The 14,589-nt window shown below is 42.6% G+C and overlaps 1 long non-coding RNA gene across 1 annotated transcript; it reads right to left on the bottom strand.

The window, feature by feature from the left end:
- Nucleotides 1-261: 261 nt before the first annotated feature.
- LOC124902752 (uncharacterized) lies at nt 262-3,274 on the bottom strand. The gene is made up of 2 exons (XR_007062884.1): nt 3,152-3,274; nt 262-481 (listed from the first exon to the last, which is right to left on the bottom strand). It is a non-coding gene; the product is annotated as an uncharacterized LOC124902752 (long non-coding RNA).
- Between the last annotated feature and the right edge of the window lie 11,315 nt (nt 3,275-14,589).

The raw sequence follows: 14,589 nt of genomic DNA, 5'->3' as shown, positions 1-14,589 counted from the left end.
AGATACTTGGTAGAGCTGTGAATTCAACTAATGCTGTAATTCTGCAAAAAAGTTTTATGTTTGATTTTCAGCATTAGCCCTATCACTACAAGAAATGAGATACTTTACTGCTGCCATATTAGTTGTATGATTCTAAGACCATCATTTTATCTAAGAGTTAAAGGACTTGAGCTTGTCATTTTTTCTTTCTCTAAGCACTCCAACACACTTGGAAGAATCTATAATGGTCAAGTGCAGCAGCTGTATAAGCTCCCACAACAGTTACCTAATTAGCATTTAATTGCAATTAATCAGAGGTGATAGCTTAATTGTAATGTTGCTGCATGCATGGGTTACTAGCATCTAATTCCCATCAGCAAAAACCTCAACATTTCACCCAATCCCAAAACCCATCTTTTAGAATCCGTCTTCTGTGACACTTTCAGGTACCAATTCTATAGCAGTCAGGGTCCAGTCAGGAGACAGTAATCACACCAGTAATCTGAACGAGGGAAATTTAAAAGAATAAATTGTTAATATAAGGTATTTAACTACTAAGAGGGTGATATCGTTTGGATATTTGTCTCTGCCCAAATCTCATTTTGAATTGTAATGAAAAAGCTGGAGGTGAGGCCTCGTGGAAGGTATTTGGATCATAGGGGTGGGTTCCTCATGGTTTAGTCCTATCTTTGTGATAATGCGTTTTCATGAGATCTGGTCATTTAGAAATGTGTGGCACCTCTGCACCTCCCCCACAACTCTCTCTCTGTCTTGCTCCTGCTTTCAACATGTGATGTTCCTGCTCCCCCTTTGCCTTCTGCCATGATTATAAGCTTCCTGAGGCCTCCCCAGAAGCAGATGCTGCTCTATTTCTGGTAAAGCCTGCAGAACCATGAGCCAAATAAATCTCTTTGCTTATAAATTACTCAGTCTCAGTTATTTCTTTATAGGAGTACAAGGATGGCCTAACACAGAAAATTGGTACCAGGAGTGGAGTATTGCTATAAAGATACCCAAAAATGTGGAAGAAACTTCGGAGCTGCGTAACAAGCAGAGATTAGGAGAGTTCAGAGGGCTCAGAAGAAGACAGGAAGATGAGGGAAAGTTTAGAACTTTGAGACTGGTTAAATGGTTGTGACCAAAATGCTGATAGTGACATGGACAATAAAGTCCAGGCTGAGGAGGTCTCAGAGCGAACGAAGAACTTACTGGAAACTAGAGCAAAGATCAGGCATATTATGCCTTAGCAAAGAGCTTGGCTGTACTCTTTTCATGCCCTGGGAATCTGTGGAAGTCTGAACTTCATAGTGATGATTTAGGGTATCTGGCAAGAAATTTCATTTTTTTTTTTTTGAGACAGAGTCTCGCTCTTGTTGCCCAGGCTGGAGTGCAGTGGCGTGATCTCGGCTCACTGCAACATCTGCCTCCTGGGTTCAAGTGATTCTCCTGCCTCAGCCTCCTGAGTAGCTGGCATTAAGGGCATGTGCCATCACACTTGGCTAATTTTTGTATTTTTAATAGAGATGAGGTTTCTTCATGTTGGTCAGGCTGGTCTTGAACCCCTGACCTCGGGTGACCCTCCCACCTTGGCCTTCCAAAGTGCTGGGATTACAGGCATGAACTACCACTTCCAACCGACAGAAGAAATTTCTAAGCAGCAAAGTGTTCAAGAGGTGTTATGGCTGCTTCTAACAGTCTATATTCAGATGTGGGAACAAATAAATGACTTAAAGCTGGAAATTATATTTAAACAGGGATCAGAGCATAAAAGTTTAGAAAATTTGCAGCCTGGCCATGTGGCAGAGAAAGAAAAAGCTTTTTCAGGAGAGAAATTTAAGCAGGCTGTGGAGTGACCACTTGCTAGACATGTTTGCATAATTAAAAGAGAGCCAGGTGCTAATATCTAAGACAATTGAGAAAATGCCTCAAAGGCATTTCACAGATCTCTGCAGCAGCCCCTCCCATCATAAGCTCTGAGGCCTAGGAGGACTGAATGATTTTGTGGGTCAGGCTCAGGGCCCCACTGCCTTGTGCAGCCTCAGGACACTCCTTCCCACAACCCAGTCACTCTAATTACAGCCTTGGCTCAAAGGGGCCCAGGTACAGCTCAGGCTGCTACTTTAGAGAATGTAAGCTGTAAGCCTTGGTGGCTTCCAGGTGATGTCAAGCCTATAGATGCACAGAATGCGAATGAAGAACACTTGGCAGCCTTCACCTAGATTTCAGAGGATGTATAGAAAAGCCTGGGCTGGGTGTTGTGGCTCACACTTGTAATCCCAGCACTTTGGAAGGCAGAAGCAAGTGGATCACTTGAGCTCAAGAGTTCAAGACCTGAGCCTGGGCACATGGTAAAACCTTGTCTCTACAAAAAAAATTAGCTGGGAATGGTGGTATTTGCCTGTTTTCCCAGCTACTAGGGAGGCTTAGGTGGGAGGATCGCTTGAGCCTGGGAGATTGAGGCTGCAGTTAGCCACAATCAGAGCACTGCACTCCAGCCCGTATGACAGAGCAAGACGTTGTCTCAAAAAAAAAAAGAAAGAAAGGGAAGGAAGGAAGGAAGGAAGGAAGAAAGAGAATAGACTAGCTGTATTTCCTAGGCTAAGGATTCCTAAGCCTAGCTGGGGAAGGTGACTGCACCCACCTTTAAACACAGGGCTTGTAACTCAGCTCACACCCAACCAATCAGGTAGTAAAGAGGGCTCACTAAAATACAAATTAGGCTAAAAGCAGGAGGTAAAGAAATAGTCAAATCATATTATCGCCTGAGAGCACAAAGGGAGGGACAATGATCGGGATTTAAACCCAGGCATTTGAGCAGGGAGTGGCAACCCCCTTTGGGTCCCTTTCCATTGTATGGGAGCTCTGTTTTCACTCTATTAAATCTTGCAACTGCTCACTCTTCTGGTATGTGTTTGTTCTGGCTCGAGCTGTCCACCACTGCTGAATGCCGCTGTCACAGACCTGCCACTGACTTCCACCACTCTGGATCAGGCAGGGTGTCCACTGCACTTCTGATCCAGCGAGGCACCCATTGCTGGATCGGGCTAGAGGCTCACTATTGCTCCTGCACTGCTAAGTGCCCAGGTTCATCCTAATCCAGCTGAACACTAGTCACTGGGTTCCACAGTTCTCTTCCGTGACCCACGGTTTCCAATAGAACCACAACACTCACCGCATGGCCCCAAGGTTCCATTCTTTGGAATCCAGGAGGCCAAGAACCCCAGGTCAGAGAACAAAAGTCTTGCTGCCACCTTGGGAGCCGGCCGCCACCATCTCGGGAGCTCTAAGAACAAAGACCCGACTGTAACACAAGGAAGGGAAGGGAAGGGGAGGGGAGGGGAAGTGAGGAGAGGGGTCAACTTCCTGTGCAGGTGTGAGAAATTACTCACATAATCAACTTGATAGCCACAGTATGAAACATCAGTGTGACCACAAATACACTCATAAACACACACGCTATCTCATGTTTGATAAATTGTTCATGCGGGTCTTTTTTTTTTTTTTTTTTTTTTTTGAGGCGGAGTCTCGCTCTGTCGCCCAGGCTGGAGTGCAGTGGTGCAATCTCAGCTCACTGCAAGCTCCGCCTCCCAGGTTCACACCATTCTCCTGCCTCAGCCTCCTGAGTAGCTGGGAGTACAGGCGCCTGCCACCACGCCTGGCTAATTTTTTGTATTTTTAGTAGAGACGGGGTTTCACCCTGTTAGCCAGGATGGTCTCTATCTCCTGACCTCGCGATCCGCCCGCCTTTGCCTCCCGAAGTGCTGGGATTACAGGCGCGAGCCACCGCGCCCTGCCAGAGTCATTTATTTTTATTTTTATTTTTATTTTTAATCATGGTAAATATATATAGATATTTAAAATACAAATATTTTCATCTTAACCATTTTAAGTGTACCATCCCGTAGTGTTAAGTATATTCGCATTGCTGTGAAACCAATTTGCAGAACTTTTTCATCTTGCCAAACTGAAACTGTATGCCTATTAAACGATAACTTCTCATTTCCCCTCTCCCCAGCCCCTGGCAACCAGCACTCTCCTTTCTGTCTCCATGAATTTGACTACTCTGAATATCTCATATAAGTGGAATCATACAATATTGGTCATTTTGTTTCTGGCTTATTTCACTTATCATAATGCCCTCAAGTTTCATCTATATTGTAGCATATAATGGGATTTTCTTTTCTAAAGGTGAATAATATTCCATTGTATGTATATATCACATTTCGTTTATCCATTCATTCACTGGTGGACATGGGTTTCTTCCACTTTTGGGCTAGTATGAATAATGCTGCTATGAATTTTGGTGTACAAATACCTCTTCAAAACTCTGTTTTCAATTCTTTTGAGTATTTATCTAGGAATGAAATTGCTGGATTATGTAGTAATTCTACTTTTAATTTTGAAAAATCACCATACTATTTCTCATACCAGCTGTTACTTTACATTCCCACCAACAGTGCACAAGAGTTCTAATTCGTGGGCTGGGTGTGGTGGCTCACTTTGGGAGGCCGAGGCGAGCGGATCACAAGGTCAGGAGTTTGAGACCAGCCTGGCAAACATAATGAAACCTCGTCTCTACTGAAAATACAAAAAATTAGCTGGATGTTGTGTGCCTGTAATTTCAGCTACTTGGGAGGCTGAGGCAGGAGAATCTCTTGAACCCAGGAGGTGGAGGTTGCAGTGAGCTGAGATCGCGCCATTGCACTCTAACCTGGGTGACAGTGTGAGACTCCGTCTCGGAAAAAAAAAACAAAAAAAAAGAGTTCCAATTCCTCCACATCTTTGTCAACACTTTTTTTTTTATAGTAGTCATCCTATTGGGTGTGTGGTAAAGTATCATTTTTTTGGATTCTGTTAACGTGTACTTTATTTTATTATTTTTATTTTCTTTTATTATTAGTACTTTTTTGAGACAAAGTCTCACTCTGTCACTCAGGCTGGAGTGCAGTGGCATGATCTCAGCTCACTGCAACATCTGCCTCCTGGGTTCAAGCGATTCTCCTGCCTCAGCCTCACAAGTAACTGGGATTACAGGCACCCGCCACCAAGCCCAGCTAATTTTTATATGTATTTTTAGTAGAGATGCGTTTTCACCATGTTGGCCAGGCTGGTCTCGAACTCCTGACCTCAAGTGATTCACCTGCCTTGACCTCCCAAAGTGCTGGGATTACAGGCGTGAGCCACTGCACCCGGCCAGTTAGGTGTAGTTTAAACATTTATTTATGTAGTAAGAGCAAAGTCATTCTGTTCTAAATTCTAAATAAAAGAACCTACTTTTCAGTTTCATGAATATCCAGGCAAAATACCTTTGTTTGTGTGTGATTGAATAGACACTTTTATTTCGTATCTATCTTCATTTATTATGTGTGATTGTTCTCAAATACGAGATTTCATTTTCTATTTGCTATTGTTCTCAATGAGGAGCTGGTCAGTGACACAGAGAAAGCAGTATCAAAGCATCAGAGAACATGGAGGTTACCAGCCTCCATGAGCTGAGCTGATCAGCTGTCACAGAGTCCTCACTCCTGATCAACAGTCTCTCTCCTTATCTCTATATGCCCACCCCCAAGTGGACAGCAATCCTAGTTACACCCATGGGAATCCAAGATGGAACTGCCTTCTTGAATAACCAAGAAAGGGAACCCAAAGGCTGGAGCTCTGATGTTGCAATGACATATAGATCTGTGGTTCTTGTTTCTAGCAGCCAGTTACTGGTTTCTTTCTATTTTCTAGCTTCCCTGGGCCATGGAAGGGGCTGCTCACCTATAAACACCTTGGATTAACGAGCCTCTTTCTCTCGAAGTGTGTGTAGAGCTCAGTCCACAATTCAGAATCATGATGAATGGCTAATTCTATAGATTGCAGTGGTTTTTCTTTCTACTTGCCACTATGGTCCCTTTGGGGTATGAAGGACGATCTCACCGATTATTGCAGAAAACTCATTTACCTCCCCCCTCCAGTTATTATGGCCACATCAACTTTATCATCTCCTCCGCACCAGCAGCTGCTGCCTCCCCAACAATAATAAGGCCTGTTGTCCTTGGGCTGCAGCCACCTCACCTGCTGTGGCCATTGGATTTGAAACGGGAGGGGGGTCAGGGAAGTTTTGGGTGGAGAAGGGCAGGTCCTCGGCTAGAGCTCCACCCCCTGGCCTATGCTCACGGACCTAGGTGAGGATAGGCATTTCTGTTTTCAGTGCCCAAATGTTGGATTTGGGCCGCATCCCCATCCTATGCCTATAAAAACCCCGAGACCCTGGTGGGCAGAGACACAAGCGGCTGGACGTCAAGAGGAACACACCTGCGGAAGAGCACACCAAGTACTGGCAGACGACGGCAGGCCATTGAGTGGCAGAACGATGCGGAGTTTGGCCAGGGTGGTGGGAGGAGAGCCCAGACTCTGGGTGGCCGACTCCAGGGGAAAAGTACCTTCCCACTCTATCCCCCTTCTGGCCTCCCCAACCACCTCACTGAGAGCTACCACCACTCAATACAAAACTTTGCACCCATCCTCCAAGCCCACGTGTCATCCGATTTTTCCGGTACACTAAGGCAAGAATCCTGGGATACAGAAAGCCCTCTGTCCTTGCAGTAAGGCAGGGGTCTAATTGAGCTGAGTAACACAAGCCGCCTGCGGATAGCTAAACTGGAAGAACGCACTGTAACACACGCCCACTGGGGCTTCAGGAGCTGTAAATACTCAACCCTAGACGCTGCTGCCGTGGGATGCAGTCCCCACAACCTGCCCGTCTGCATGCTCCCCCTAGAAGTTTGAGGAGCAGGGCAAGGAAGAAGTGAGCCACACCCCATAGCTCGCTCTTCGAGGGAAATGAGGGAACTTTTCCTGTTTCAGATTCACCACAGAGGAGACACCACGTTAGACCACCTATCATACAGGTTGTCTCTGCTACCTCTGCCTCAGCAGCCATTGGGTCTATTGTGATCATATCTGCCGTCATCTCCTTAGTCATTGTCTCGAGTGCCATCTTCTCCACTTCCGTCTCCTTAGCAGCAGCCACAGCCTCCACCAGTGCTGGCCCACCATCATCCTCCACTGTCATCTCCGCAACCTTCATTGTCTATTGTCTGTTTTTTCCCTGAATAATAGAAGTGCAGGATAACTTGTTTCTTTCTTCCAAGAAGAAGATGAGGCTGCTCAAGTTTGAGGATACTTTTTTGCACCAGTTGATTATATTTCTGCATGAGGAATGGATTACTTATTTTAAAAACTAAATTATATCCTGAAAATTCTTAGATTACAAGTGAGGCACCTTGGAGTTGATAAGAAGAGCATGATCTATAATGCAAAGTCAGATTAGCTATTAGATTCTTCTGAAGCATTGGCTCTTTTCAGTTAACAAAATTTGTATCAGCCTGTGCAAATGTGGATGTGTGGATCTGCCAACATTGGGCTGACCATAGATCCAGTCTTAATAAATGATGTTCCTTCACTAACCCTTTCAATGGATGAGAAAGGCTGAGCAATGCCCCAGAGCCCAGGCTTTAAGTCATCACTAAAATAAATAATATTTTGCAATAAATTGTTAAGACTTACTGAAGAATAATTCCTAAAGGAAAGAAATATCTGATGGAAAGTCCTATGTGCTGAGGGGGTTTTGAATGAAGGGGCCTCACAACAAATTACTTGAGCAGAGATGCAGCTGTTTCTTTGGGCAACCTCCTCTATGTATCAGTATATAAAGGGCCTTTGTTTTGGGCCGGTCAGTTTCACAAGCAAGAAATCCTCCAAACTTTGGAGGTCTATAATATAAGCCTGCCTGTAAGACCTCTGGGAGATCCCACTATTTATCATTAAGACTTTAAGGCCGGGCACAGTGTCTCATGCCTATAATCCCAGCACTGTGGGAGGCCGAGGCAGGTGGAACACCTGAGGTTGGGAGTTCGAGACTAGCCTGACCAGCATGGAGAAACCCCATCTCTACTAAAAATATGAAAAATTAGCCAGGTGTGGTGGCACATGCCTATAATCCTAGCTACTCAGGAGACTGAGGCAGGAGAATCGCTTGAACCTGGGAGGCAGAGGTTGTGGTGAGCCGAGATCGTGCCATTGCACTCCAGCATGGGCAACAAGAGTGAAACTCAATCTCAAAAAAAAAAAAAGAGTTTAATTTGACACTCCCACTTTTCAGTGTGGTGATGGCTATCCCCTAATGTGTCTAGTCTTCCAGAGTTCAAAGCCTCTCTGGTTCAACTTCTCCAGAGAGTAAACTTTGCTCCAGTTTTCTGCAGAAGTGAGGGACAGGTCATAGGACAGAAGAGGAGGTCTGACTGGACTAACTGCTCCTTCCAACCAACCCTTCTATTTTCAGCCCAATCTTATGCCCCTATTTTCAAAAGTTACTGGGGACCACATGCCTAAATCTTTCTGGAACTCACAGGCAAAAATAATTTTATTTTCTTGTTTTACCTTCTCCTTGCAGGTGCTTAGGTTAGTTTCTAAGATAGGATTTAAGAAGAAAAGAGAAAATGTATGTGTTCAGTCCATCTTAATTACTTCAAATCTCTCTTATCTTTTTCTGTACTTTGTAAAATTTCATTTTTTATGTATCAAATATTTATTTTGGTGTGTGAAGGGAGATGAGGATATCAGCTGAATCTCACTTTCTACCAGAGCTAGCTAAAGCACACACGGAACATTCTTTATAGTAGAGATCATATACTAGTATATACAGCAAGTCCTGATAAATTTAAAATGATGGAAATCATACACCCTATGTTCTCTAACCACAAGGAAATCAAATTATAAATCAATAACAGAAGTTTAGGGGATTTAGCAACACACTTCTAAATAATCTTGTCAAAGGATAAATCACAAGGAAAAATTTAAAATATATTAAACTGAGTAAAAATGAATACACAACATGTCAAAATTTATGGGACGTAGCTAAGGTAGGCTTAGAGGAAAATTTATAGCTTTGTATGCTTCTATTAAAAAGGAAGAAAAATCCAAAATCAACAGTGTAAGTTTTCAACTTAAGAAGCTAGAAAAAGAAAAGCAAACCCATAGTATATAGAAGGAAGGAAATAATATAGATCAGAGCAGAAACATACAAAATAGAAAACAGGTAAACAACAGAAAAAAATCAATAAAATGAAGAGTAGTTTCTTTGAAAAGATCAACAAAATTGATAAATCTTCAGCTAGACTGACCAAGAATAAAAGAGAAGACACAAATTACCTAAGTCAGGAATGAAAAAGAAGACACACTGTAGACCCAGCAGAAATTAAAACGATGGTCAGGCACAGTGGCTCATGCCTGTAATCCCAGCAGAGTGGGAGGCTAAGGTGGGAGTATCATTTGAGACCAGGAGTTTGAGACCAGCCTGGGCAACATAGCAAGACCTTGTCTCTACAAAAATTTTGTTTCAAAAGTCTATGGGATTGTTTCAATAGAAAAAACAATCAAGTAAATTCAACACCTTTTCATGACAGAAACTCCCAACAAACTAGGACTAGAAGGGAACTTAAATTGATGAATGGCATTTTATAAAATACATACAGCTAACATGAGACTTAATGGCAAAAGGTTGAATGTTTTCACCCTAAAATCCATGTTAGATAGAATCTAGATACATAGTGAGCTAGGAGAGTTGGACAAGAAAATCAAGAAACAAGAAGAGTTAGTCATAAAAAGAAATGACTTTGGTGGATACTTTCCTGAAAAGGTGAACACTGGCACAAATACAAAAGGCTGCAGACCCCTTAGATGGTTCCTGAACCCTGCAACAGAAACAATGTTGTTTAACGTTTCAATGAACTGTTTCATAGTCCATCTTGTTCACTGTTTTAACTCAACTATTATTGTAGGGAACACTGGAGTTACCCGTAACTAATCTCTAAATTTTAGTTTCAATCCTACTGCTAACACCACTACACCAACCATTACTTTTTAAAATCTAACTGTCCAAGAGACCTGTACAGTGGTAATGATGGTGGCTGACATTTACAGAGTACTTACAATGTACCAGGCCCTGTTTTATGTTCTTTACACGTATTAATTAAATTGCTACAGTGGCCGTAAAAGTAGTCACTATTATTTCCCTCCATATTCCAGATGGGAAAACTAAGGCAAGGACTCAATAAGTAATTTGCCAATAGTCAATCAGCTAATAAGCAGCAAAGCTAGGATTCAAATCCAATGATCTGCCCCCAGAGCCTATGTACTTGACCTTTATGTAATCCTGCCCCTCGGAGCTCAGCTGTTTAATGTGAAAACTATAGCCAGGGCCCCATAATTATTTGGTCAGGGGTTTTACACCTTTGTAGAAAAGAAGCTTGGGATGGGGAAATCTAAGAATTGTGGTAAAAACATCCCTCCTGTTTCCTTGGTGGCAAGCAGGGCTGTATATATGTGTGTTTGTTTTTGTGTTTTTAAATTGTGTAATGAAAGTGGTCAGCTCCAGTGAGCCCACTCCCATGAAGGGGGATATCTCTGAGTGATGAGTTGTCTCAGAGAATCTGATACTCAAGAGGATCCATTAGGGCCAGGCGTGGTGACTCATGCCTGTAATCCCAACACTTTGGGAGGCCAAGGCAGGAGGATTGCTTGAGGCCAGGAATTTGAGGCTGGCCTGGGCAACATGGCGATACCCTGTCTGTATAAAACACGAAAAAATCAGCCGGGCACAGTGGCTCATGCCTGTAATCCCAGCAATTTGGGAGGCCGAGGCGGGCAGATCACCTGGGGTCAGGAATTCGAGACCAGCCTGGCCAACATGGCGAAACCCTGTCTCTACTAAAAATACAAGAGTTAGCCAGGTGTGGTGGCAGGCGCCTGTAATCCCAGCTACTCGGGAGGCTGAGGCAGGAGAATCGCTTGAACCCCAGGGGGCGGAGGTTGCAGTGAGCAGAGATCGCACCATTGCACTCCAGCCTGACAGAGTAAGACTGGAGTCTCCTGACAAAGTGAGACTCCATCTCCAAAAAAAAAAAAAAAAAAAAAAAAATTCCACAAAAAGATTATCTGGGAATGGTGGTGCAAGCCTGTAGTCCCAGCTACTCAGGAGGCTGAGGTGGGAAGATCAGCTCAGGAGGCGGAGGCTGCAGTAAGCCATGATAATACCATTGCACTGCAGCCTGGGTGATAGAATGAGATCCTACGTCAAAAAAAGAAAAGAAAAGGAAAAAAAAAAAAAGGAGTATCCATCAGACTAATTAACCAAGTTAGTAAACACAGGATTAAAGCAAGAGCTGTATTTCCAGGGATCAAGGCCACAAAGACTAACTGGACTGCCAGTGCTGAATATGAAGGCCTTGGGATTGAGGGCAGATTCCTTGCAGAGCAGAGAGGGAATTTTTCTTTTTTTTTAACTTAGAAAGAAGAAGAAAGCTGGGCCCAGGGAGTCAGGAGTCTATTTGAAGGAAAATCAGTTGAGTCCCGACCTGGGGATGACAGATAATCTAAAGGCTAATCCCAGAAAATAGACACAGAACCGAGTTCCAAAAAGACCCAGCATTTTTCCTGAGATTCCACCAGGGATGATTTGTTTAAAGTAACATTGGACCAGAAATCCAAGGAGCTCAGTCTAGCCTCCATCCTGTCAGCCCAGACAGTGTGGAGGCCAGAAATAATTGAAGCTGTGCACTTTACAAACTACCAATCCAACCAGGCTATCACTAGACCTCAGGGAGATTAGGATAAAAGAAAAAAAAAATCTGAGTTTTGTAAACCTATCCATTTCTGTGCTCTGATATTTTCTCTCTTTTCCTTGAGTTTATTTATTTTGGGGTTTGTTTTTCTCTTTTAATTCCAACCAAGTCCCAGATGAACCAAAAGGAAAACTGATTTCCTACACCTACATCGGGATAAATAATGGAAATGCTCCAGAAGCAGATAAGGTAGGTGAGAGCCAGAGAATCTGAGGCTGGGAGAAGAGTGAGGAAGTAGGATGGGGCAGAGTTCTGAACAGTAGGGCACACTAATACCTTCCTTCCTAGAGATTCTTACCTTATCTTTATGCTTTTCCTGGAAGTTTGTGCTTGCACAGTGGCCTTGGGCATAAGGTGAAAGGGCATAATGTGATTTCCCATTGTCCGGGCAAGAGAAACAAATAAAGGATTGCCTCTATGGAATTGTGGAATGTTTGTTATCCTAAAGAAAAGCATTTGTCTTCTCTCACAGGGGAAATCCTGTCATCTTATCTTAGCACTGCTCCTGAAATAAGTAGTCTCCGCTGCCTTTAATATAAGGGGAAACCAGGAGTGCAGGCCCTAACCAAGGTACCCATCCAGGGGCAGTGACTTAAGTTCAAAATCAGCCCCTATAACTGCTCAGACCATTAAATGACCTTAAAATCAAACCCTCTACCTGATCCCTACCTAGCTTCCTGCCTTGTCCTTTCCTCCTTCCTTCACCCTTTCCACAGAACAGAATGGCTACAACCTTGAGTACAGCAACAGAGGTCAACACCAGAGATGAGAAATGAACTCATGGGCTGATTGTGCAGGGAACCCCTAGTACATCTAAGAGCTTTGAGGAAGTCAGGAAAGGCCTGTGCAAGCAATCAGCCTTGTTCTCTAGCTCACTCTATCTTGCTGACAGAAAGTGCCCGGATACCCTTATGGGACACCCAGCTGCTTTCAGAACTCTGAAGTGGCCCAGATTGAGGGATTTTAAAAAATCTATCCCCCTCAAAAAAAAACTTTCTATTTTTTTAAATACACTTTCCTCCTTTGAGTTAGGATTTATACATTGTCTTTCCTTAATCTCTTCTACAGAATCTTTACAAATAAAGTGTAAAATTAACAAACTTTTATTATTTTCTGTGTCCATTAAGTATTTTACAATCCTCCTTCCTATCTTTCCCTTCTTTCTTTTCTGTTTCTGATGCTTACTTTCCAACATAGCTTTCCAAAGTGAATTTAGGAAGTAAATGCATGATTTATGTCTTTGTCTCCCTATTTTCACTAGTCTCCTTTGCAGTCTTGTCTAAATGACACTCAATGCACCTACCAAAAGAGAGCACACTCATAAGTTTGTGAGATAATGTCTGAGTTGATATTATCTTTGTTTCATTAACCTACATTTGGAGAGTTGTAAAAAATGCACTTTAAAAGGTTTAGAGTCCAAATGACAAAATAGTTCCCAGTGCTACAAAAGATAGAACTGAACGACTATGTAATTAACATGCAAGAAGGATTTTCGGCAAACAAATTTTTTAGCTTCTGTAGCATGGAAGTTAAATAGTGGGGCTGGGTGCAGTGGCTCATGCCTATAATCCTAGCACTTTGGGAGGCTGAGGTGGGCGGACCAACTGAGGTCAGGAGTTTAAGATCAGCCTGGCCAACATGATGAAACCCTGTCTCTACTAAAATACAAAAATTAGCCGGTCATGATGGCAGGTGCCTGTAATCCCAGCTATTCGGGAGGCTGAGATGGGAGAATTGCTTGAACCCGGGAGACAGTGGTTGCAGTGAGCCAAGATCACACCAATGCACTCCAGCCTAGGCAGCTGAGTGAGACTCCATCTCAAAAAAAAAAAAAAAAAAAAAAAAAGAGAAGTTAAATAGCGTGAAGAAGACTGAAAGACACAGCGAAATCTCCAGGGGAACAAAGCCTAAATCTTTATCTCCAGAGGAACAAAGCCAGCACAGGAATTTTTTGAGAATGTATTCTTAGATAAAATCAGGTCTTTAAGGTTGTATAATTTTATAACACTATTACTAACACAGTCTGCTGGAGTTAGCTTATATTTTATCAAATACGACTCCCTTAAAATTACAGAAAATTCTTATCTAGAAGGATTCATTGTTAAACTAGAGAAGATGGCCATCCCAAAGATAACTGTAGCTGATTGCATAATTTTTCCTAAGGCAATATGGGTTTACACATTTCCTCAATTTACAAATAGTGGAAGTTTACTTTATCACATGTGAACCTTGGAAATTTCATCAAATGCATGTTTAATAAACAAATGAGTTGTTGTTTCAGACAAGCAGAGAGAGACTTTTAAGCTTCAGACTTTTGATAAATGACAGAAGCCCACTAACTGCTGAGGACCAGTCTGACAGGAATTGGCAACGATAACACACAGAACAATGAAGGGCCATTATCTTAGAGTTCACAGAAGAACGGCTTGGCATCTAGCCAGATGAATAATCAGTCTATTTTAGTGTTTATCACACAAACCAATGGATTTTTCCAAGTAATAGTAAATTACGTGTGGGTCTTTTCCTTTTTTAAAAAAGGATTTCCTGACAATCTGTGTAGAAGTTATAATAATATCTTTGTATATTTTCATAAAATGGTACATTATGCACCTACGATAAACAATGGGTCTTTGGTATCAGCTTTTTGATTTGGGGGTGTTTGGGGAATTTTATTTTTGGTGGTTCTCTTTTGACTTTGTTAGTCTCTATCAAAGCTGACTTTACCTTAGTCCAAATCTCCTAAAATACATGCTTGTGAGGCTACACTATATTAAATAAGGAAAGACACATTTCCCATATGGCAGCCTGGTCTCCATTCATTCAAAGAAGAGAGAGGAGCAAAGGTAACCTGATACTCAAACATCATCTACAATGTATAACTCAAGGCTTATACATATATATCTTTGTAACCAAATATCTGTATTCATTAGCACATGGCAGC

The sequence above is a fragment of the Homo sapiens genome, chromosome 11, assembly GCF_000001405.40.
Source record: "Homo sapiens chromosome 11, GRCh38.p14 Primary Assembly".
Lineage (NCBI taxonomy): Eukaryota > Metazoa > Chordata > Mammalia > Primates > Hominidae > Homo > Homo sapiens.
The sequence above is the reverse complement of the archived record's forward strand: the minus strand, read 5'-3'. Positions and strand labels throughout refer to the sequence as shown.